At 34.4% G+C, this 22,462-nt stretch overlaps 1 protein-coding gene across 3 annotated transcripts in view; it reads left to right on the top strand.

The window, feature by feature from the left end:
• NDST4 (N-deacetylase and N-sulfotransferase 4) overlaps positions 1–4,898 on the top strand; it is a 285,858-nt gene extending 280,960 nt beyond the window's left edge. For all 3 annotated transcript variants that reach the window (XM_017008545.3, NM_022569.3, XM_017008546.2), the window contains 2 exons: positions 2,769–2,871; positions 4,726–4,898. In XM_017008545.3, the coding sequence (XP_016864034.1) occupies positions 2,769–2,871; positions 4,726–4,845 (223 nt within the window). In that variant the 3' untranslated portion in view covers positions 4,846–4,898. The remainder of the gene's footprint in view (positions 1–2,768; positions 2,872–4,725) is intronic.
• Positions 4,899–22,462: the final 17,564 nt, after the last annotated feature.

Genomic DNA, 22,462 nt, shown 5'->3' with positions numbered 1-22,462 from the left:
AACAAGACTGCACCTCTTGGTGGGGTGGGACAGCATCACCAGTGGGAATGAATGTGGGATGGGAGATATGATTGCTGTCATCTTGGGAAAATAAAACCATATATTTTTATAATTAAAAATGGGGAGAAATGTAAAAGAAGCAGAATAACAAACAAAAACAAGTAGCCAAAATATACCTTAAAAGGGATTGTACTTTATTCATAAAAGCCTCTCCCACAAGGTCTGATACAAAACCTGTGAAATTTTGACAAAATTCTAACAAGCACAATTATGTAATTTCCCAGTTCGCAGCAGATTAGAACCAGCAATTAGACAATTAGAGAGGCTAACAGAGGAACAGGAAAAGCAGTAATAAGATTGGGTTGTTCCTTATCCACTAAAACAACCTTAATGAAGTTTTTACCTACACATGGAAATAACAACAACACAAGGCCTATTCCTGTTAATTAAGTAAACGAAGCTTCCTATAATATGTTTGTATTAATAGTTACTGATGTTGGCTTTCTTTTCCTGCCTCTCAGCCGTAGTTGAGGTAATGTTTCTATCCTGTTTATGAAAAATAGTTGCTTATGGTTCAATAAACCTGTAAAATTACACTTTTGAAGGAGAGATTACAAACAAGTACAAAATATGTCGTTTTTAATATGTCTCACACATCACAAAAATTAATAACTATAGTGATGTTCAGTAGAATAAAAAAAACTCAAACCACAACCAACTCATGTACTAAAAGTTGCCTAACAGTTATATTGAGGCAGGCTTTGCATCTTAATTTCACAATTTCATGCCTACTAAAGTAAAACCACAAAGCAATGAATTGATATAACTTAGAGAGGATAAATGTCCTTTGTTAGACTTAAGGCATATGAAGTTGCCAATGCAATAAATGAAACCAGGACAGCAAAATCATGTAGATTCAAGGTTATGACAACCCTATCTAAAAAAAATGACTTTCGGTATTCTGGAGGGCTCTCCTTTCTCTGATTGTATTAAGCTGTGCCTTACAACAGCTGCTGTGGATAACAAGGAGAGACCACAGCCCATCCTGAGACCTCGGCATTACCTGAGAGCAAAGGAGATGCTCTCAGCATGTGTATAAATATGTTGACTTTGCTGCCAGGGCTGTATTTTACCTTAATGCAGTTAAATATTCTCATCCTGAGGCAGAAAACAATGTTTAGGGGCACTGTTATGCCAACTTCATCTCATTTTATACAGCATGCTGAATTGTTTTTCCTCTTGGGAAATTAATGAAAACAGGAGAAAGGATTGTGACAGGCAAAGAGCAGATTGAAAAGTCCAGGTTGGAGGCCGGGCGCGGTGGCTCACGCCTGTAATCCCAGCACTTTGGGAGGCCGAGGCGGGTGGATCATGAGGTCAGGAGATCGAGACCATCCTGGCTAACAAGGTGAAACCCCGTCTCTACTAAAAATACAAAAAATTAGCCGGGCGCCGTGGCGGGCGCCTGTAGTCCCAGGTACTCGGGAGGCTGAGGCAGGAGAATGGCGTGAACCCGGGAAGCGGAGCTTGCAGTGAGCCGAGATTGCGCCACTGCAGTCCGCAGTCCGGCCTGGGCGACAGAGCGAGACTCCGTCTCAAAAAAAAAAAGAAAAGTCCAGGTTGGAAATGACTCTTTCTTTTATCCATTTAACTAGTGATGTATTTAATTTTAATTTACAACATGTACTAGGACAACTTGGACTGCAAGGTTCAGGTCTCTAATAATAGGTTGGGCAGAGAACTGTGAAGAAAACTTCCCTCTCCCCCTAAATGAATTCACATATGTACAGAAGCAAATTGCAGGTGCACCAGTATTATAGGAATGGGCCCAGGGCAACAAAATATTCTGCAACTAATTAACTTTATATCCCAGTCAATTATGCTTCATCCTTCTAAAACATCTGCTGAGCAGCAAAAATGCAAACCTTTTCGATGTTTTATGCATGCAGCAAGTCCCATAGTAATGAACTTAAAATTTCCCTTCCTATTTGGTTCATTCTTCCGTTTTTCCTCTCCTGTTAGTCCTAAACAAAAATTCTTACATATTTGACTTTTAAAAACAAATTAGGCCACACATCCTTTCTTTTATAACTCAGTGCAGCTATGTGAGCAAAACGACATTAGAGTTTTCTGTAAGAATATAGGTACCTGAATTATCTAACAGATTATCTGCCTTCAACAAGAGAAATAAGAGGTTGTCTAATCTTCCACTTTATTTTTACACTTCTAATTTGTTTTTTGAAAAGTGTAAGCATTTTGAACTGTAAAAAATGCAATAATTTCTGAACTGAAAGCTTTAATTCATGTTTATATTCACAGAAGTATACCTACATTACATTCAACCCCTTTAATATATACCAGTGAATGATTTCAAATAAGTCTGTTAACATATCTTTGAAATCACATCCATAAGTAAATAAAGTATCCTAAAGTTCCTTTATATATTGGCTGTAATTTCAGTTATTGGTCTTTGATCTTTTATGGATGCATAGGTAAGCTAAGGAACTTAAGTTAAAAATGTTCATGTAAAAGTAAACTAAAGATCTATTTCTTTTTTCAGTATAGTATAGCTACTTAAAATATATAATAACATATAGCTTCTTTCATCTCAGTTAGCCTCTCTCAAATCAGCTAAATAAATATCTGTAAAAATGAATTAAATTAAATCAGTGGGCATACAAAAATACATTTCCTTTATTCAATTGGTGAGGCTGTCTCACTGAAAATTCTGCATACAATTTGTAATCATTATGTTTTATGTACTGTAGGTTTGATCCCCAAAAGGGTTTTTGGTGTCAATTACTGGAAGGAGGAAAGACAAAATGCCTTGGAAAAAGCAAAGGCCGAAAATATCCACCTATGGATCCAGAGGTAATAATTTTTTAATCTTTGAATTACTCTAGCAAAAATATTTGCAAACAGCTATTTCAAAACTAGTAACAAGAAATTTGCTTCCTTTTTCTGCTCTTCCTTTGCAATTAATAATTTTATATACTTAGAGGATGATAGAGATAATTGACACATAGAAATGATAGATAGATAGAGATCGGTAGATAGATACTAAAATTAATATACATTCCTAGAAATTATTTGCTGTTTGAATGCAATTCAAAAATAAATATTTACTAAAAAATGACTCATTTCCAAATGCTTAAAGCACTTAAATAGTTTACTAAACAAGTGATTTTGGATAAAATATTCAAGTATCATTATTATATATTCAATACAGATATTCAAGGCCTACATTACAGGTGGAAGTGGGCTAAGCAATGGAAAGAATACAAAGATAAAACAGTTGTGAGCTCAGATTTATTACAGGATAAATTAGTTATATCCACTGATTTGTATTAGGGACATAAAAACGTAAAACAATGACAAACGAAACCAGAAAACGGCAGGAAAATATTTCAATAGAAGTGAGGATATGAGAAGAAATGTCTTATCTGGTAGAACAGGCTTGGAAAACCAGCCAGCAATTGGCTCAGCCAGGTATCATACATATTTCTCTTATGGCAAGGTGGGCAAAGGGGGATGCAGGTGATTCATGGGTTACTATGGAAATAGATATACTAGAAGGTCCTTAAGCTACATTTTTGAACTCAATAACTTCAAAAGGGTTTCAGAAATCACTTTAATCCACCAAGAAATAAATGTAATGTTCCCACTACTACTATAAACATCTTATCCGAAATGTGAAGTGTTTACAATCTGGTTTAAGGGAAGAAACATAATGAAATACCTGGTGAACGTTCCAAGATGAAATGTAGTTGTCTTAAATCCATTTCCACAGTATACACAAAAGTTGCTAAGGGAGTTTTATGTGGTAAAAGACCATTTGTGTTGAAATATTGAGGAGGGCTTAAGAGAGATGGTGGATCTTGGACCAAATGGAAAACAATGAAGGAGGCATTGTTACCTATGCCAGCAACAGGAAAAGTGTTCGTCTCCAATTTTATCAAAGAGATGGAAATCTGCCAATTGGGTTATAATATAGGTGATATCCAGAAAGAAAGTCCAATTAGAAATGTCCTGTTTTCCAGAAATCTGTGTAGATGAAAGATAAATATAAAACTAAAACCATTCATATTTTTTTTAGCATTTCTCTAATAACGGCCCATCTCTGCAACATGATTAGAAATATAAGAATTGCAAAAAGGATCAGGCTTCAGAGACCTTATAATATTTTGGAAACCAAAAGCTCTTAGTGACTAAAAAAATATATTTCAGCTCTGAGTAAATGTATAAAAATTTTGCATAATATTGCAAGTTATTATTTGTAATAGTGAATTTTAGTTTTTATGATTATGCTCACATTCAATTTTTATCTTACAGGCCAATTTTCAAAAAAAAATGTATGTACATTTATCTAGCTTACCTCCATAAATTTCATTCCTCATGCAGTCCCTATCTCATTTATCTCTAGTATTACACTCCTGTCATCGTTTTTTCTTTCTGTGTAGACTTCATATATCCCACAATAAATATGTGCCGTAATGACAGATACGCCATATAGGATATACTTGGTCCTATTTCTATTTTTAGCTACACCTTTGCCAAATATTTTCAAAAGGTAAAAATAACTGATATTTGAGGAAAAATACAAGAAATATAATATGTTGTAGACACGTATACTGTAGTAGATATATTCCTTAAGAAATATAGATTACAATATCCTGTTTGATGAAACAAAGAGCTTCTTTCAAGTTCTTCTTTTTTTCTTTCCAGTCTAGAACGTTCCTCTCTAATTACTACCGAGATCATAATGTGGAACTATCCAAACTGCTACACAGACTGGGACAGCCTCTGCCATCGTGGCTGAGACAGGAACTGCAGAAAGTGAGATAGCACTGGAGACAAGAACTAAGCCTCTCAAGATACTTTTAGTGTTAAAAAAAAAATAAATCCACCTTTATTCTCAAGCACTTGTGATTGTCAACAAAGAACTGTGTGAATAAATTTCCTTCAGCCTTTTTCATAAAATGAAAACTGTTATATATGCACGCATTGACAATTACTAGCACCAATCCCTGTGTAAGCTTTTGGGAGATTATGTGGGGGTTTGTGGCATTATCCAGTTTCTAGTGTATAGATCATAGCACAGCCCAGTTCCTATGTTAAGCATAAGGTTTCAGATACTCTATGTACGACTGATAATCTGGATTATATACAAGTGAGCAGTTAAAATTTTAAGGAAAAACCAAGTAAATGAGGTTAGTCGTAACTCAATATTTGAATTAAGGGCTAACATTTTCCCCTTGAGAATTTAAAAACAATTTTGCTTTTATTATGAGAGGGAATTATGTAACCCCATACTCTTATTTGTGAGTAATTACTCTTTATTATATCAGCCCACATATTTTCTTTCTGCAATGACTCCTCTTTACTAATTTCTTGACTTGCTAAAGAAGTTGTGAAGTTATAGCTCCCCATGTTTTTTGTTTGTTTTCCTCCTGTAAGAGGGGACTACGTGAAAGCTTCCATATTCACTGATATTATTTTATCTGGCAGCACATGCCTTTCCCAGTGAATTTGTCATTTTGATTCCAGCAAAATCTGTTAAAGTTTTTAGGGAAGAAAAAGAGTATGAAGCTGCATAATACCACTATTAAGTCTAAGGCCATCTTTAAGTCGGTCCCGAATCTTACTATACTAATAATCTAGATATTTCCACCTTGACAACGATATAGTATTTATATATTTTTCACTATCTGAGATAGAAATAAAGCTTTATTGATAAAATATGGAATGAAAACACCAAGGTGTGTTTGCATATATAGTGAGGCAGTGTGCCTTCTACATAGTATATGTTAATCTTTTTAAAGCATGGATTTTTCATATATGCCAGTATGTCTACTATTGTAGAAGATTATGTTTTTAATGCCTATTAAAAAAATAAGTATAATCCAAATCTTACCTCTTCAAACATCACTAATTCTCTAACCTAAACCCAATTTCTCAGCCACGCCACCCAAATGTTAATTTCTGGAGAAGTGGTGTTCTTTCTGTCTTAGAGTTATAGGTTCTTTTCTTATTTAGAGGTTATTGTAAGGCTAGTTGGATTTTTATCTCATTTGTCAATGATGGCATATTAATATTTTGTTAAACTTTTCAGTAATACATGAAGGTAAAATTTCAACAGAACAGTAAATCAAACTGACTTTGGTAACATTACCCAACAACCTATTCTTCCTCCAGAGTAATTTTCCTATTGGCTGTAGAAAATACTACTTTTTCTTGTAATTTGAGAAATTATGCTTGCAATAATATAATAGCAAATCAAAGATCTGTATTTTTCTGTATGTTAGTTTGTTGTTGATTTTTAAGCAAACACATCAAATTTATGTGTCCTAATTGGGGTATTCAGCATCCAACTTTACATTTATACTTCATTAAGATTGTTTGTTTTCCTGTTGTTTCTCAGCAAAAGGATATTGACCTTATTCAAAAAATGTAAGGCTTTTCATGGACATGAGTATAAATCACATATACTTTTGTTGTCCCTTTCTGTTAACTATGAGGCTCAATTATCCATCTTATTGTTGCGTAAGTGAGTGTGTGCTTCACAGCATTTTATTACACACACTAAAATCACAGTAACTGCATGTACAGCTCGAACCTTTGATTTATTCATTAGTTTCCTCCAATTTATATTATAAATCTTTCTTTTTAAAAATAGTGATTAACTTTTTTTCAAGTGGGATAAAAGTAATATTTATAGAACAGAGGGAAACTTTTTTACATCTCAAGTACAATCTATGTAACTCAAGGTTTTCCAACCCATCACCTGGCATTTAAAAGTGTAACTCATTTTATGCCATTTTCATTGTTTTCTAAATAATTTATACAGTATCAGTTAGCTGTCTACAGATATCTGGGAGCAAAATTTTCCCCAAACTCAACTACTCTTTTCAATCTGGTTACTTCAGTCAATGTGAACATATTTCTCATTAAGGTTGATAATGAAGACAACAAAATAAATTTTAATTGTATAATTTATCTTCATCTTACAATAAACTACTAAGAGGAACTCTGGGCTCTGAGATTATAATAAATCAGGAAAAATTTAATATTTAAGAATATCTTGCTTTTTCCAATTTTTACCCACTGGCTATTTTAGAATTATTGACTCAAGATTTTAATACATTTAATTCTTTAAAATGTTAAATAAATTTGATCTCATGGTCTTAAATAATATATGTTTTAGTAGTCATGAAATTTATTTAAGCTATCCATAAATAAAAAAGTGATTACAATGAATTTACAGAAATGGAAAATTTTAGTTCTTAGGCTAAATTCAGGCTGTTTGCTTAAACTTTCTTTTAATTTCTACCAATGAATATGAAGCATCACAAACCGTAGGCAAAGCAATTAAGTAGAGTAGTATATTAATCTCCCAAATAAGGTGTCAAACTAACTTTCAGTGGTATCTATTCAATAGTCAGTATAAATACAGAGACAGTGTCTTGACAAAAGCCACAATAATAACAGCATGGTGGGCCATAAAGCAAAAGAAGTTTCTCAATAAATATTTCTGAAAAGGGATAGATACCTCTTCGCTGTGAAATAACCATACCTTAGAATCCTATACTCTCTCTTCACCACTTTGAATGACGTACTTTCTTTAAAAATTCTAAAGCAAGCTAGTTTCTCTCCTTTCTTTTTTTTTTATAATCCAGTTGCCTAATTCACAGATATAATCATTGATGACCTCACATTTATAAAGGCAAAAACAATATTTGATCATTGTCTTTATCAAAATGTGTATGCTTATCAAGTAACAGTCTCTAAAAATTATATTACAAAACTCGCCCCAAACCAAATTTTGTTTGTATTTAACAATGGCCCAAAGAGAATTAAATAAACAACAAGAAAGAATGCTAGTGAGAAAAATTTATACTCTTTTTATCACATTTTTTTCTAGAAAAATAGCTTTTAGTCCAATACGAGATTTTGTAGCCTTCAATTTTAACAAACCTATCCATTTACCCTGTGTAGTTTTTGTTATTCTGTCTCACTGTTTTAATATAATGTGACACATTTACCATGAGTACTGCTTTATTTTTAATTACAGAAAACACAAAAAATTTATAGGAGGAAAGATATCTTAAAAGCTCAGTTTCTGGTGGCTAGAAAACTTAATTGTTTCCTTGATGGAAGTACCTCAAAAATAATGCTGGCCCATTATTCCAAAAAGAAAAAAAATCTATTAGTCTTGCAAGCAGAATTTTCTTTCAACAATAAGAACACAGCTTAGCTATGGACACACACACACACACACACACACACACACACACACACTCATTATATGTGTATAATGCAAATGTATATGCATATATGTGGTGTCTGAGAAACTTCAACTAGTTTTTTGTCTCCCAAATTATATTTTCTGTGTCAGCCAGTGAGGTGGCTGGGAAAAGCAGGGAGAGAGTTCTGTATTTACTGAAATTGTTAAAAAAAAAAAAAAAAACTGATGTAGTACATGCATAGCATATCATTGGCTCTCACTTCCTCAGAATAAATACTACTGCTGGTATGGTCACTAGAGTCATGTTGTTTCTCCTCTGAAATCCAAGGCTTTAATCAATAGTTGATTCTTTATCTTTTCTTTTATCTTTCTTCACTGTATACATACTCCCTGAATTTTAAACCCTTAACAAGTATAACCACAAGGTTATGAGAACTGAATTCTCATCTCAGTTCTCCCTCTTACTAGCTGCTAGCTGTGTGGCCTCGGACAGTTTGTGGAACTTTTCTAAGCCAGTTAGTAAAAAATAGACAATAGCTACTCATTGGGTTTTCATAGGCATTAATTGAAAATACATTTAAATAACTTAGCACAATGCTGATGCAGTTGTGTGGGAACATGTTAATTACAACAATATGTAAAATTTGAATCATTCTCTCTTCATTTATCGAAAAGAATATGTTTTTTCTACTCCTTTTAAAATAAAACATATAAATCTTAAACATATAATTATATGTGGTCAAAATGGGAAACTGTCTTCCTCATCACTATCAAAAAATAAATTTTGTGCTTTTCCTTGTTATTTTTCTGATAACATTGACAGCAAAGTAGTGCCGTCTCAGTCCATTCTACTGAAGTCTCTTTCCTTTTCCTCCTATCTATTCCTTTGTCAGTCTATTCAGCAGAATATCTCCCTTGTACCTTCTCTTTATATTGCTCTCTTAAATTTCTTTGCAACGTAACACATATTCTATCAAAAATATCAGATCTAGAGCTGCAACTTCCTCAAACCAAAGTCACAAAATTTAATGGCAGCATATGTATCATATGGAGACATATATATAATAAAAGCATATATAATAAAGAATTAGTTCTATAAAATTACAAGAAACTTTTTCAGAATTCTCCACAAGTCTTTATCTCTAATGTCACCTTCTTCTAGAAAGATTTTGCCACAAATAAAAACTATTTATTATATTTAAATGTATTTTCTATTACATTTATTAATATCAAACACTGTTGTTTCCTGCATTTTTTTTTTTTTTTGGAGACAGTCTCACTCTGTCACCCAGGCTGGAGTGCGGTTGTGCCATCTTGGCTGACTACAACCTCTGCCTCCTGGGTTCAAGCGATTCTCGTGCCTCAGCCTCCCGAATAGCTAGGATTATAGGCATCTGCCACCACCCCTGGCTAATTTTTGTACTTTTAGTAGAGACAGGGTTTCACCATGTTAGCCAGGCTGGTCTCAAACTCCTGACCTCAGGTGATCCACCCACCTCAGCCTCCCAAAGTGCTGGGGTTACAGGCATGAGCCACAGCTGCCCAGCCTGTTTTCTGCATTTTTAAAACTGCAAATACACAACATTTTATGCCTGAAATAAGATATTTATATGTTATTAATTTCCATTCAAAAACTTTTATTGTTTTTCTAATGCCTAAAATCTCATATATCACCAAAGCCTGGCACATAGTAGGTAGCCACTAAAGGTTAATTAACTTTTAGTTAATTAATTAACACTCAAGTGTGTTCAGCAGTACTAATTTACTTAACCCTTTTATGTATTTTAATATGTACCACCCACCTTTTCAGTTTGCTCTACATTCTAGCTCTAGAAATTTTATCCATGACTTTAGATGCCAGAAGTAACAACTCCAAAATCTGTATCTTCAGCACCAACCTTCCTCAGGAATTCCAGACCTAGTATCCACCTTACACTGTTCATCTTCAACTAAATATCCGCCTGACATCTCAAATGAGGACATCCAAAATCATCACGCAAGTAAAGTTTCTGCTCCTCTATCTTTTTGTCTTTTTAATGACTATACCCAACCAGACCAACATTTTAGTCCTTTCTAGAAATCTCTCTCTTCCATACACCCAAGTTATGCTGCATCTCTTCCTGAATCCATTTCACTAAACCAGAGTCTCAGAGTACAAATATAACATGAGTCACAAATGGAAGCCATGTATATAATTTTTAGTTTTCCAGTAACCACTTTAGAAGACTATAAAAATGAAAATTATTTTAATATTTTATTCAACAACAACATATGTAAAATATACCAACCTGCAATTATTATAAAGATGTTTACTGAGATATTTATATTATTGTGTTCATAGTCTTCAAAATCCAGTTTGTATTATACTCTTATGGCACATAAAAATTAGGACTTGCCACATTTCAAGCATTTAATAGTCACATGTGGCTAAAAGCTACTAGACAGAACAGCTCTGAGCTCTACTCTCCACGTGTACTTGTTATGAGGTCCTCTTTTCACCCCATTGGTGAGAGAGGGATTCCTACCCTGGGGTTATAAAAAAATGGCTGAACACACAACACTCAACACAAGACAGATGAGATCAACTGTACACACAGCCCAGAGAGGAGGACATCCCATGCCATGCAGCCCCATGGGGCTTGCACTTAGGAACACAGTGAACAATCAGGGGCTATGGGAGGCAGGTTTTGGAGTACCAATAGAGAGGGGTCACTGCTAGCTCCCACAGGAAGATGTGATGGGCTTGTCTGAATTCCTCTGCAGATTGTCAGGGAACCAAAACCCGCTACTCAGGGATGAGCAGAAACTGCAATGAGTCCATTTAATCAGGAGGATTTTTAGCTAGAAAACCTTATCCACTGGAGCAGAGAGGTAAGAGAAACTTGTGGATATGCCATTCAAGGTCCTTCAGATTTTACCAGATATCAAGGCAGCAGATGATATTGAGCCTTAATTTTTGGCCTCATATCACACTTCTCAACACTCTTTCATTCTATCATTATCTCCCTTTGGTACAGCCAGGAGCTTTCACTTCTCTCTAAATCATACACCACACTACTGATGGGATGGTCTACACAGCTTCTAAATTGGACTATACCATTCCTTTCCTTAAAAACCCCTAAATCTTCCTCCAAATAAAATGTTTGAAAACTCCACAACTTATTCTATGAAGTGTTTTATGAGCTAAGGTCTTGTATACCAGACTAGTCTTTTCTTTCTTCTTTTCTTTTCTTTTTTTTTCTTTTTTTTTTTTTTTTTTTTTTGAGACAGAGTTTTGCTCTTGTTGCCCAGGCTGGAGTGCAATGGTGCTATCTGGGCTCACCACAACATCTGCCTCCCAGGCTCAAGTGATTCTCCTGCCTCAGCCTCCCAAGTAGCTGGGATTACAGGCGCCTGCCACCACGCCTGGCTAATATTTTGTATTTTTAGTAGAGACGAGGTTTCACCATGTTGGCCAGGCTGGTAGCAGTGAACTCCTGACCTCAGATGATCCACTTGCCTGGCCGTCCCAAAGTGCTGAGATTACAGGTGTGAGCCACCGCACCCAGCCCAGACTATTCTTTTTATTATTATTATTTTTTATTTTGCAATCTCTTAAAAATTACATTCCAAATTCTAGTAGCAACAAACCATTTGCAATTCTCCAATTACTATAATTTTTACATCTCCAGGCCTTTGTAAGTGACGCTGCCTAGAACACTTATTTGTCCCTTCCTCAATCAATTTCCTGTATGAACTGGAGTTGCTGATTCACTTACATAATTAACACTGGACCTCAAGCAACCTAGCTGTGAAAGTCCACTTCCTTTTCCCCCCTATTCCTTTGTATCTAAAATACAGAAATATCAAGCCTCTAAACTTTACAAGATTTCACATGGATCTCCAGCTTAAAGTAGTTTCAGAAATCTCCCGGTTCCCTTGGCATTAGGCCATCAATATTTGGGTATTAATGATAATATATTTAAACCATAATCCCAGAAGGTGATTTGATATTCTTCCATTATACCATTATTGTTGAACATATATTGTACCGTAGTTTTTTACATGTCTATCTATATGATAAAATGTAAGTTATAAAAAGGAGCACTGTCTTTTCATTTTTGGATCTCTCATGCAGAACGCAGTATCTGGCACAAAATAAGTAAAGTGAGTGTTAAATGATCTTATATTTTTACACTGGTGGGATATTAAATTCAATTTCTAAGCATAAAAAATTACTGTCATTCTCTCATTCACAGGCTCAAAATATACACTTTCAAGGATGTTTGGGTTTAGGAGTATTGACTGTTTTCTGTGAGTCTTTATGTGTGTATATCTGAATCACCTATTCTGGCTTAATAAGATCATGCTCCCACTTTGCCAAACAGACAAATTTAAGCAACTCTAAACACATAAAAATTTAACTACATCAGATATTGCTCTTTTGTATTAATTTAAAGATCTCACAGCATTTTTTTTCCTACAAATATATTTGTTAATAATCAGAGCAAAGCTAAGAGCTATCTACAATGCAATTAGTGTGGTGACAGTGCATGCCTTAGAATTAAAAAGAGTTCAACTTATTGAAGGGAATGAAAGATCACTGTCTTAGCATTTGACTATTGAGGCTCTTGAGTTTTATATATTTTTTTCTACTGACAAAGAGAATAATGCTAATTGTTTAATGATATGTTTAAAATGTCTGTGTAAACCCTGCCAAGAAAAAGGATAGGTGAAATTGTTATGCCAGAAAGCTATGGCACTTTTTCATTTGAATTCAAGTGGAATTAAAATATCCCCACATAATCAGATGTATCTATGTAAACAAGATTATTTCTAGAATATTCTGAATTATTTAAGGCTCCATTCTCATATCCTTAAATTTCATAAGTCTTTTCAGAAATCTTAATAATATGCCAACAATACAACACTAGCAACACAGTAAGGATACACAGCAGAAACGAGAAACCAGGAACCAATGCACAAGAATACAAAAGAATCATGACTGCATTCCTATGACCCCTGATGGCCATTTCCAGATCACATGTGTTGGTGTAGGAGAGAAAAATTACTATGAGTTGTACAATTATCAGCAATGTTTTCAGAAAAGCAGGAAGAAACATCAACTTCTTTTGACCCAGAGCAAGAGGTGGCATCTTGGTACATGAACCAGGACACATATATATCCAAATGAGGGTGTGTCAGGGGAGCAAATCTTACCTTGAATGTATTTTTATTTTTCTCCCATCTTGTTTGCTGATGAGAATAGATCACAAGTCAAAGATAGAGCAGTATGTGGTGGGGAGTGTTGAGGGTGATGGGCTTGTAGTAACCCACTTGGCATTTGAGATGAAAAATGTACAGACTTTGCTTTGTCTGGGTTATCTAAAATAAGCTCTCTTCACTCTACAGAGTGAAGCTGTAGACTTGCTTTTCTCTCTGTACCTCCAGAGAGCAGTCTATACATGAAACTCTCAAGTCCAGATCAATTGTAATTCTCTCTTGCTGCTTCCAGAATGTTGCCTGGAAATCACAGAGTTTTTACACAGAAGTCTTTAACCTGTTAATTAAATTAAGCATATGTAAGCCTGTAATTATGTCTTGAAGAGATTGGTAATGTTCCCTGTAGATGAGACTCTGAGGCCACTTGGATCCCATTTCAGCAGCATGGCAAAGCTAAAAGAAATAAGGCAATAGACTTAGATAACAAAAGTTATAGTGCCTTTGTCACAGGTGATACACATACAAACACAGAATTCTCAACTACCTTCAATCAAAATAAATAATGCAAGGATTTATCAGTTTTTGTGCTAGTCTCTGAAATGAACCAACTCGTATCAAGCCCCTGCGATTTCAACAACAAGGTCCTTCAAATTATTTAAAATGCTTTCAACTGGAAGAAGCAGAGTGCAACATAACACAGTGTATGGACTTCTGAAGCCAGAGTGACAGTTCCAATTCTGACATTACCATTTACTAAATATGTGGTGTGTCTCAGGCACATTGCTTACCCTCACTGTGTTACTATTTCTGTATCTTTACATTGCAAACAATAATAGCACCTATCCCTTGGGGCTATTGTGAGGATTATATGAGTTAAAATACATAAAAGCACCTAGAACAGTAGCTACCACATAGCAACTACTTTAAAAGTGTTCGCTGTAGTTATTTACTTTTTGCATTTCTGTTTATAGACACAAAATACATGTTTTTAAAAATATGTTCCAAATGTGTTGGCTTCATATAAAATTAAATATATATAAGATTAAGTATATTTAAAAATGTAAGATTCTATAACCACAAGATAGTTATAGATAATAACAAGGCAATAACAAGATGATTACCTGTGATATATAAGTATTTTAAAATTTTAATTCTGTCAACTATTTTTACATGGTTGACCAAATTATGGAATTCTGAATCTCATTTTTTCCTGAGTAAACACTGAGAATAAGAGCTTAAAGATAGAGTACCAATAAGTGAACCCAAAGTTTAAGGTGAATTACTGAAGAAATTAAATAGAAAACTGAACTGTTACTAAATTAAAGTTGCCTATAAAGGACGGACCATTGAGAAAACCTGCAATGTAGATCATTATATGGAAAAAGAACAGCATAAATCTGTTTAGGTGCTATTACTGAGGAGTAATGGACAAGAAAAAAGTTTTTTAAAACCAGAGATTTAAAAATATCAACTTATTTTTGAAAGTGGATTTTAAAAAGTATCTTCTGTATACTATAAACTATTAAACTTAACAATATTTACTCATGGGCAAGATTTTAAGATCCTGGAAAAGAGTGTTTGAAATTTCCCAAAAGTATTTTACAGACACTAAAATTCTTCAACTGTTCTTCAACACATATGATTTAACATTAAATTTTAAAGACATTAATGAGAACTTTGTGGAGAAAGAAAAGGATTCTATATTCAAAAAGTACTGCTAAAAATGGAGCTAATTGGCCAGACAACTCTAATCTTTATATATGAACATTTACTATGTTGATTTACTTGGCAAATCTCCATAAGGATGAAATAATGTACAGTACTTCCACCAATAATTTGAATGAGAATTGTTGGCTTATACATCCTTCAGGGGTACAATTTCACGGAGTACAAGTTAGGAACCATTCATTTAAAGAAAGGTACATAGACATCTTGAAGAGAATTCATACCAGCAAACCATGGCCCATGGGCCAGAGCCTCTTTTTATACATACAATTCATGAACTAATAGACTTATATTTTTAAACGAATGTTAAAAATATTCAAAATAAGAAGAATATGAGTCAGAAACTGTGGGTAGGCTGCAAAGCCTAAATACTCACTGTGGGATCTTTTACAAAAAAAGAGATTGGCAACTTTTAATTTAAAGACGCAGTCATTTTATAGTAAACATTATCTAATTTTACATGCTAGAATTCTAGATTAGAAAAATACAATAAATCAGAGGAACTAAATCGTAAGAATTGCTTATGGAGCTGGTCAAGAATCTGGATTCACAGTTCCATCTCCCCTGAAATCTGAGTGAATAAATCGAGATGAGACAGAATGTCCAAATTCTTTATGTGATTCATATGTTGATGGCCTTCAGATATTTCAAACATTTGAAGCCCCAAATATGTAGATGTAAGTAAATCATCTTTCTGGATTTCAGCAGCCATGAGCCAATGTTTCTCTTGATATCTTTATAAATGAGTAAGAGAAATATGAACCACAAACTAATGAAGTTCAGTAAACTGGCAAACAGTTGAAATAGCATACTCAAAGAATATGGTTAATGAATAAATGTTTGTCTAAAAAGAAAATTTGAGTGGCTTACTCTTCAGTTTTGTGCAAGAAAATTTTTATTAAAATATTCAAATAAAGAACCAAATCAAAGGTCCCAATATTGCAGTCTTTGGAGTACACTAGCCAGTAGGTTTTTTAAATTACTGTATTGCTTTTAGGTAGGGCATGTTCTCTCTAGTTCCCTGGGATGTACTGCCTTCTATTTTCCATTTATAACTGTCTAGATGCTGAAGGCATTAGGGTTTATGGGCCCTGATCTGAAATTTATCGTTAAGAAAATTGTATATGGAAAATATTGGAAGATATATAAATCTCAGGCAATGTTATGATCTGGATTCAGCATAAATAATTTGTCTTAGGTTCAAAAACCCAACTAACCAAGTACTATAGTTTTAGTAAAGATTTTTCAAACTAGTATCCTTTATAAAAGATAAATTTTTAAAGCTATAGCCTGACACAATCAAAGTTTATTTTTCACTCACATAAAAATCTAATCAGTAAGGAAGAGGAATGGGCAAGGGAGGAAATTTTGCTCCATGTTGTTATTTAGAAAATCAAGCTGCTCTAGGCTCTGTTGTCCTCAAACGCAAATGTAGCTTTCACTGTCACTCTAGACTTTGACCAGCCTGCAAGACATGGAAAGTGGGAATCAGAAAGTGGGAGTATTTTATGGACCTCAGAATGATTCATGGCACTCTAAAACACACAACATTGACCAGAATTTGATTATAAGGCAGACTTTACTGAAGGGAGGTTGGGAAATGTAGTCTAGCTGTATGCCAAAAGGAAAAGGAAATAGGTTTGATAAATAGCTAGACATTCTCTGTCCTAGTCCACCCTTCTAGTCACCAAATATCCATTACATTCTTCCACACATAGAACACATTCATCCCTTCCTCAAGGAAAACAGCACAAAATCCTGTCTGTCCACTTCATTCAGCTCAACGTAGAAAATCTTTGAGTTATACGTCAGCCTCTTCATCAGGTCCAGGTATGGCTTTTTGTGGGCTAGCAATCCATGGGCAGATCATCTTCTCTCAGGTATACAATGGTGGACCAGGGGCACGATAACCACAGTAGACATTCCCATTTGGAAATTGGAAGACTAGGTAACACACGGTTGTTAATAGACAGTAATTATTATGTGTTTCTGCTGGCAAGGCAGGGGATGCCTGCAGTGGAAACTTGTTTTGTTTATTAGAGCTGGTTTTGCTCTCTGAAAGGAGTTCCCTTGATCATTTGGTGATCTGGAGTTTGGTGATTTAGAGCTGCTAGTGATGACCATCTCTATCCTCTAGGAGCATTTTCCCTTATAATCTGGACTTATGATTTCTTTGCCACTACACTTACCTCAAAAACTTAGTAGGTATCTAATCTAGTTGCCTCCACTAGTTCTGTGGGCCAGTCATCATCTTCCAAACCCTGGTTCTTGTATCTGCTTTTTTCCATCATTTTCTTGCACCAGTCATTCCTTCTCTCTGTGTTACTCCCTCTCTCTGTCTCTGGAGCTCTCTTCCTTCCTCAATTTAATGGCAGCCTTCAGAGGCACCAGGCTTAAATGTAAAAGTAATATTCAATTTTACTCTTTTCAAAAGGCTGAATCTTAATGAGGCCTTTAAACTAAAGTCTTCTCTCAATATTGTATCATTGAGGTTTAGGAGAATTCAGATTTTTCAAACTTTTGAGGCCTCAGATATCTGGAGTATTTATTTCATTTTATATTTGCCTGCAAAATCAACTAATTCTTGGGCGAGCCCATCTCTTTCTTCTAATATCTTCTATTACAAATAAAAAACATCCTATCCTGTAGCTTTCTCCATAGAAATACAATCTTGGAGGCATTTGGTCTGTTTTTCAAGTTATCATAAATGACAATTTCACCAATGTTTTGCCACAAATATCCAATCTCTCATTTCGGTGTTCTCATTAGCAGCCACTCCCACTGCTGGGAAATGTTGCAAATATTAACCTTTGTTTATAACATCCCTTCTTAAGCTACCAATTTTCAAATTAGTTAAGGTGCTACTAGCTGCTGTAATGGATTAATACCAAATTCTTAGCAGTATCATTTTTCAAAAGATCATTTTTTTTTCTTTCACATATACTCCAAATAGTGGAAGAGAGAACCGTTTTCCTCTACACAGAGAATCTGCCTTGAAAATCTTCCTGGATTATCTTGTGTCAATGAGAAAGCCTTATGGAGAGAAAAGAGTGGAGGCTTTCTGAGTGAAAGATTTTTGAAAGGTAAGCTTTGAAGTCATGTTCATCACTTCTGCCCATGTTCCATTGTCTAGAATTCAGTCATTTGGCTACTCTTCACTACAACAGAGGCTGAGAACTGTAGTAGAGCTGTTTGAAAAGAAGAATGGCATACATATTTGATAAACAGCTATCTATCTGCTGCCCCACAGATTGGGGTTGAAAATGAGACCAAGATTTAGTTTAAAGGTAAACTCAACATGAAAAATAGTAGACATCCATAAACGATGATGCAATATCACTGTCCACTAATAACAGTGCATCTAGATCATGAGAAAAAATAACAATAAATCATCATAAAAAAGATTGCTTTATTTTGTACTGAACAGATCACACCTAGGACATAAAAAATTCTTGGGTGAAGTTTACACTATGAAAGAGTAAGGTGTTAAAGAATTATAGCCCAACTTTAGTACTTTTCTGAACTAAGACAACTGGATTACTCATTTCCAGAAAGAACAAGTCCATTTGTCCAGGCTAAAAACTTCAGTCAGCCATGATCTCTTTCTTCCCACAACCTTCGTCTATTGACAAATCCTGTCAGCTTTATCTCCAAGACTACTCAGACTCTAAGAAATTCCTGTCATCTCCAACTCTGCTATGCTAATTCAAGACCCCACCATCTTTTTCAAAATAAACTAATAGCTTTTTCTACTTAAAACTTGAGGTCCTACAGACTAGTTTCCATAACAACCAGAGAAATTCTTTGACCAATTTTCCTATCACTTCCCCCTCAACTGACCATCTTCAGTCAACACCAGCATCCTTAGATTTCTCTGAACATGCTAAGCAGGCTCTATCCCAGAGCCTTCACATTCTCTGTTCTATGCATAAACAAAGTTTCCCTAGATATATGCATCGCTCATCCTCTCTCTTCCTTCAAGTCTTTGTTTAAATATCACCTTGTCAGGCAGGTCTTCCCAGACTCCTGCATCATTATACTTTCATCTACTCTTCTTGCTTAATTCTTCTCCCTACCACTTACCAACAACTGACATATGAGGGTTTTCTTGATTATTTTTATGCTTCCTCTATCTTATCAACTCCATGAGAAAAGGACTCTCTTCTATTCCCTGCTGCTTTTCCTATGCCTGGAGCTCTCTGGCACATTATATTAGGCTCTCAACAGATATTAATAAAAAGATGAATTTAAAAAAAAACAGGATGGTGAAGGATCAGGAAACCGTAACAAATGAGGAGCACATGAAAAAAATTGAACTGTTTTTTAACAAAAGTTTGTGTGTAGACAAGGGAAATGAAGTCATAGCAAGTGAAGAATAGGTTTTGAGAACATATTGATATCAAGAACCTGCTGCATAAAAGAACAGAAGTTATAGAAAGGCAAATTTTCTTTTAATAGGAAATAGAAAAAATATTTAGTGTTTCCTATTAAAATACTTTAATAGGAAAATATTTTCTAGTAAATAGGGTATTGGAATGAGATGCTTGGAGAAGTAACCACATATTTTTAAGTCTTCAAGAATAGACATAATTGGAGTTTTCCAGAAAATCATCAAAAAAGTCTAAAATCCTAGCCTTTTGTTCCTTTCCAGTTCTAAAGAATATGATATTTAGTATAAAATAAAAGACAGAGAGAGAGTATAACCATTGACAGGATATTATAACTAATATTTGATTGGTTGGTTGATTATCCATTTGTCAACCAACAAACCAATTTATTGGTTTTACCTTTATTTTTTAGAAGTATTCATTTATTTATAATTCAGATAGTCATCTTAATCAAACCTATCTGCTAAGTAAGAAGCATGTGGGGAGGAGATTTATATCTACCCCACTAGAAAAGAGGGAGCAATTTCTTGATTTCCAAATCAAGTCTTCTGCCCTAGTTAGAACATACATATATTATATATAGTGTATATATATAATATGTCTATATATATGTATATGAAATACATACACACATATATGCACATTCACACAAAAATGTATGCTTATATATGTGTGTGTGTGTGTGTGTATGTATGTGTGTGTTATAGTGGTACAGATATAGTAATCATGTCTCCAATACAGCAGGCCTGCCACTTTGCCAAACCATTGTAAAGTTTGCGAAACAGAAATTTATCATCACTGGGAATGCAGTCTTGTCTTTTTCAAGCTGTTTCACTTCTAAAAGCAGTAAATAAATGCTTTTATTTTGTGCGTAGCATTTTATTCTTTGCATTATGACACTTATACCACTTATCACCAAATCCTTTCTTTCTGGTTGACTTTATGATTCAACTTCTCCAATAAAACTTTTATAGTGGGAGTCTAATGAATTAGACCCTGCAGAAAGGAAAGTAAATTGGCCTGTTTCAAAGCTTCAAAGCTGCAGCAATAAGTTCTACAGATTTATTGCAGACCTCTTCACTGTTCCAATAAGGGTGCCAATTGTATTGTTTCCAATTTCCCTTTACAACATTTTTTAAAGGCAGAAACTTCTAGGATATATCCCACCAGAATTACAGAAAGCCAGGATTCACAGAGAAACCAAGTAAGAAAAGCTGTATTGGATTCAGCAAGAAACAGCATAGGAAAACGGTGGTCATGTGGGCCATGTTAAAAGACTGCATTTAGGTACTGGTTATAGAAAGCTTGTATCATGATTAAGCCAAGAAAAACACAAGGAAAGTCCCAGAAGTCAGCCTAATTATTCACGACATAGTCAGAGGAGGCCCTGAGGCATGACCAGCCAGAACAAGTGGAGGATTTTTAAGGATTAGGAACCCTGGAGGAGAAGCAGAACCCTGGAGGAGAAGCAGAACCCAGGAAGACAAGAGATGCTCCTCATATCTCAAAGAGCCCGAGGAAAGAAACAGAAGAGGGTTGCAAAATAAGATGCTTTATTTTTCAGTCGTTAAATTTTTTGTTGTTAAATTTTAGAAGGCGGTTATTTTGTTTGTTAATTGTCTTTCTAGGAGGAAACTAAAGAGGACTGGATTGGTGACCTGGAAGCTACTCTCAGTCACACTGATGGTAACCAATTTTCCCAAAGGCTAGAGTTCTGCTGCATAGCTCGGGTTTCAGATTCAGATGAGAAAAAAGAAAGAATCCAAATCATTAAATTCAATGGTAAAACAAGTAAAAAGAGATAGATAAAAGTTTAAACATAGCATTTACATGATTAAACAAATGACATTTATTTTAGTTGGTATTGGTGATAGTTATTTTCCATACGTGATTTAACAAGTAATAATCTATCAATCAATAATTTAATTTAAAAGAATTATATATAAAAATAAAACAAGTAAAAGATACAATTGAAAAGCTACAAAAAATTCTGTTTTCTTCTTTAATGTTTTAAAAACACTTATAAACAAATAAGAAAGTAAATTAGTTTGAGCAATTGTTGTTGAACAATTTTTATGTTTTTTGGCCACTTGTATGTCTTCTTTTGATAAGTGTCTGTTCATATACTTTGCCCATTTTTAATGGGATTATTTGTGGGATTTTTTTCGTTGTTGATCTGTTGAAGTTCTTTATAGATTCTGGATATTAGTCTTTTGTCAGATGCATAATTTGCTAATATATTTTCCCATTCTATAGATTGTCGGTTTACTCTGCCAATAGTTTCTTTTGCTGTGCAGAAGTTCTTTATTTTAATTAAGTCACATTGGTCTATTTTTATTTTTGTTGCATTTGCTTTTGAGGTCTTAGTCATAAGTTATTTGCCTAGGCCAATATCTGGAAGAGATTTTCTTAGGTCTGCTTCTAGAAGTTTTAGGTTTCAGGTCTTACATTTAAAACTGTAATTTATCTTGAGTTAATTATTTATATATGGTAAGAGATAAAGGTCTAGCTTCCTTCTTCTGCATATGGCTAGCCAATTTTTCCAGCACCATTTATTGAATAGGGGGTCCCATCTTCATTATTCACTTTTATTGACTTTGTCTAAGATCAGTTGGTTGTAGATATGTGGCTTTTATTTGGGATTTTTTATTCTGTTCCATTGATCTATGTGTCTATTTTTGTAACAGTACCATGCTGTTTTGGTTACTTTCGACTTGTAATATAATTTGAAGTCAAGTAATGTGATGCCTCTGGCTTTGTTCTTTCTGCTTAGGATTGCTTTGGATATTCAGGCTCTTTTTCAATTCCATATGAATTTTAGAATTGTTTTTTCTAAATCAGAGAAAAATGGTGCTGGTAATTTGATAGGAATTACATTGAATTGTAGAATGCTTTGAACAAT

Source organism: Homo sapiens, chromosome 4 (assembly GCF_000001405.40).
Source record: "Homo sapiens chromosome 4, GRCh38.p14 Primary Assembly".
NCBI classification, from domain to species: domain Eukaryota; kingdom Metazoa; phylum Chordata; class Mammalia; order Primates; family Hominidae; genus Homo; species Homo sapiens.
The sequence above is the reverse complement of the archived record's forward strand: the minus strand, read 5'-3'. Positions and strand labels throughout refer to the sequence as shown.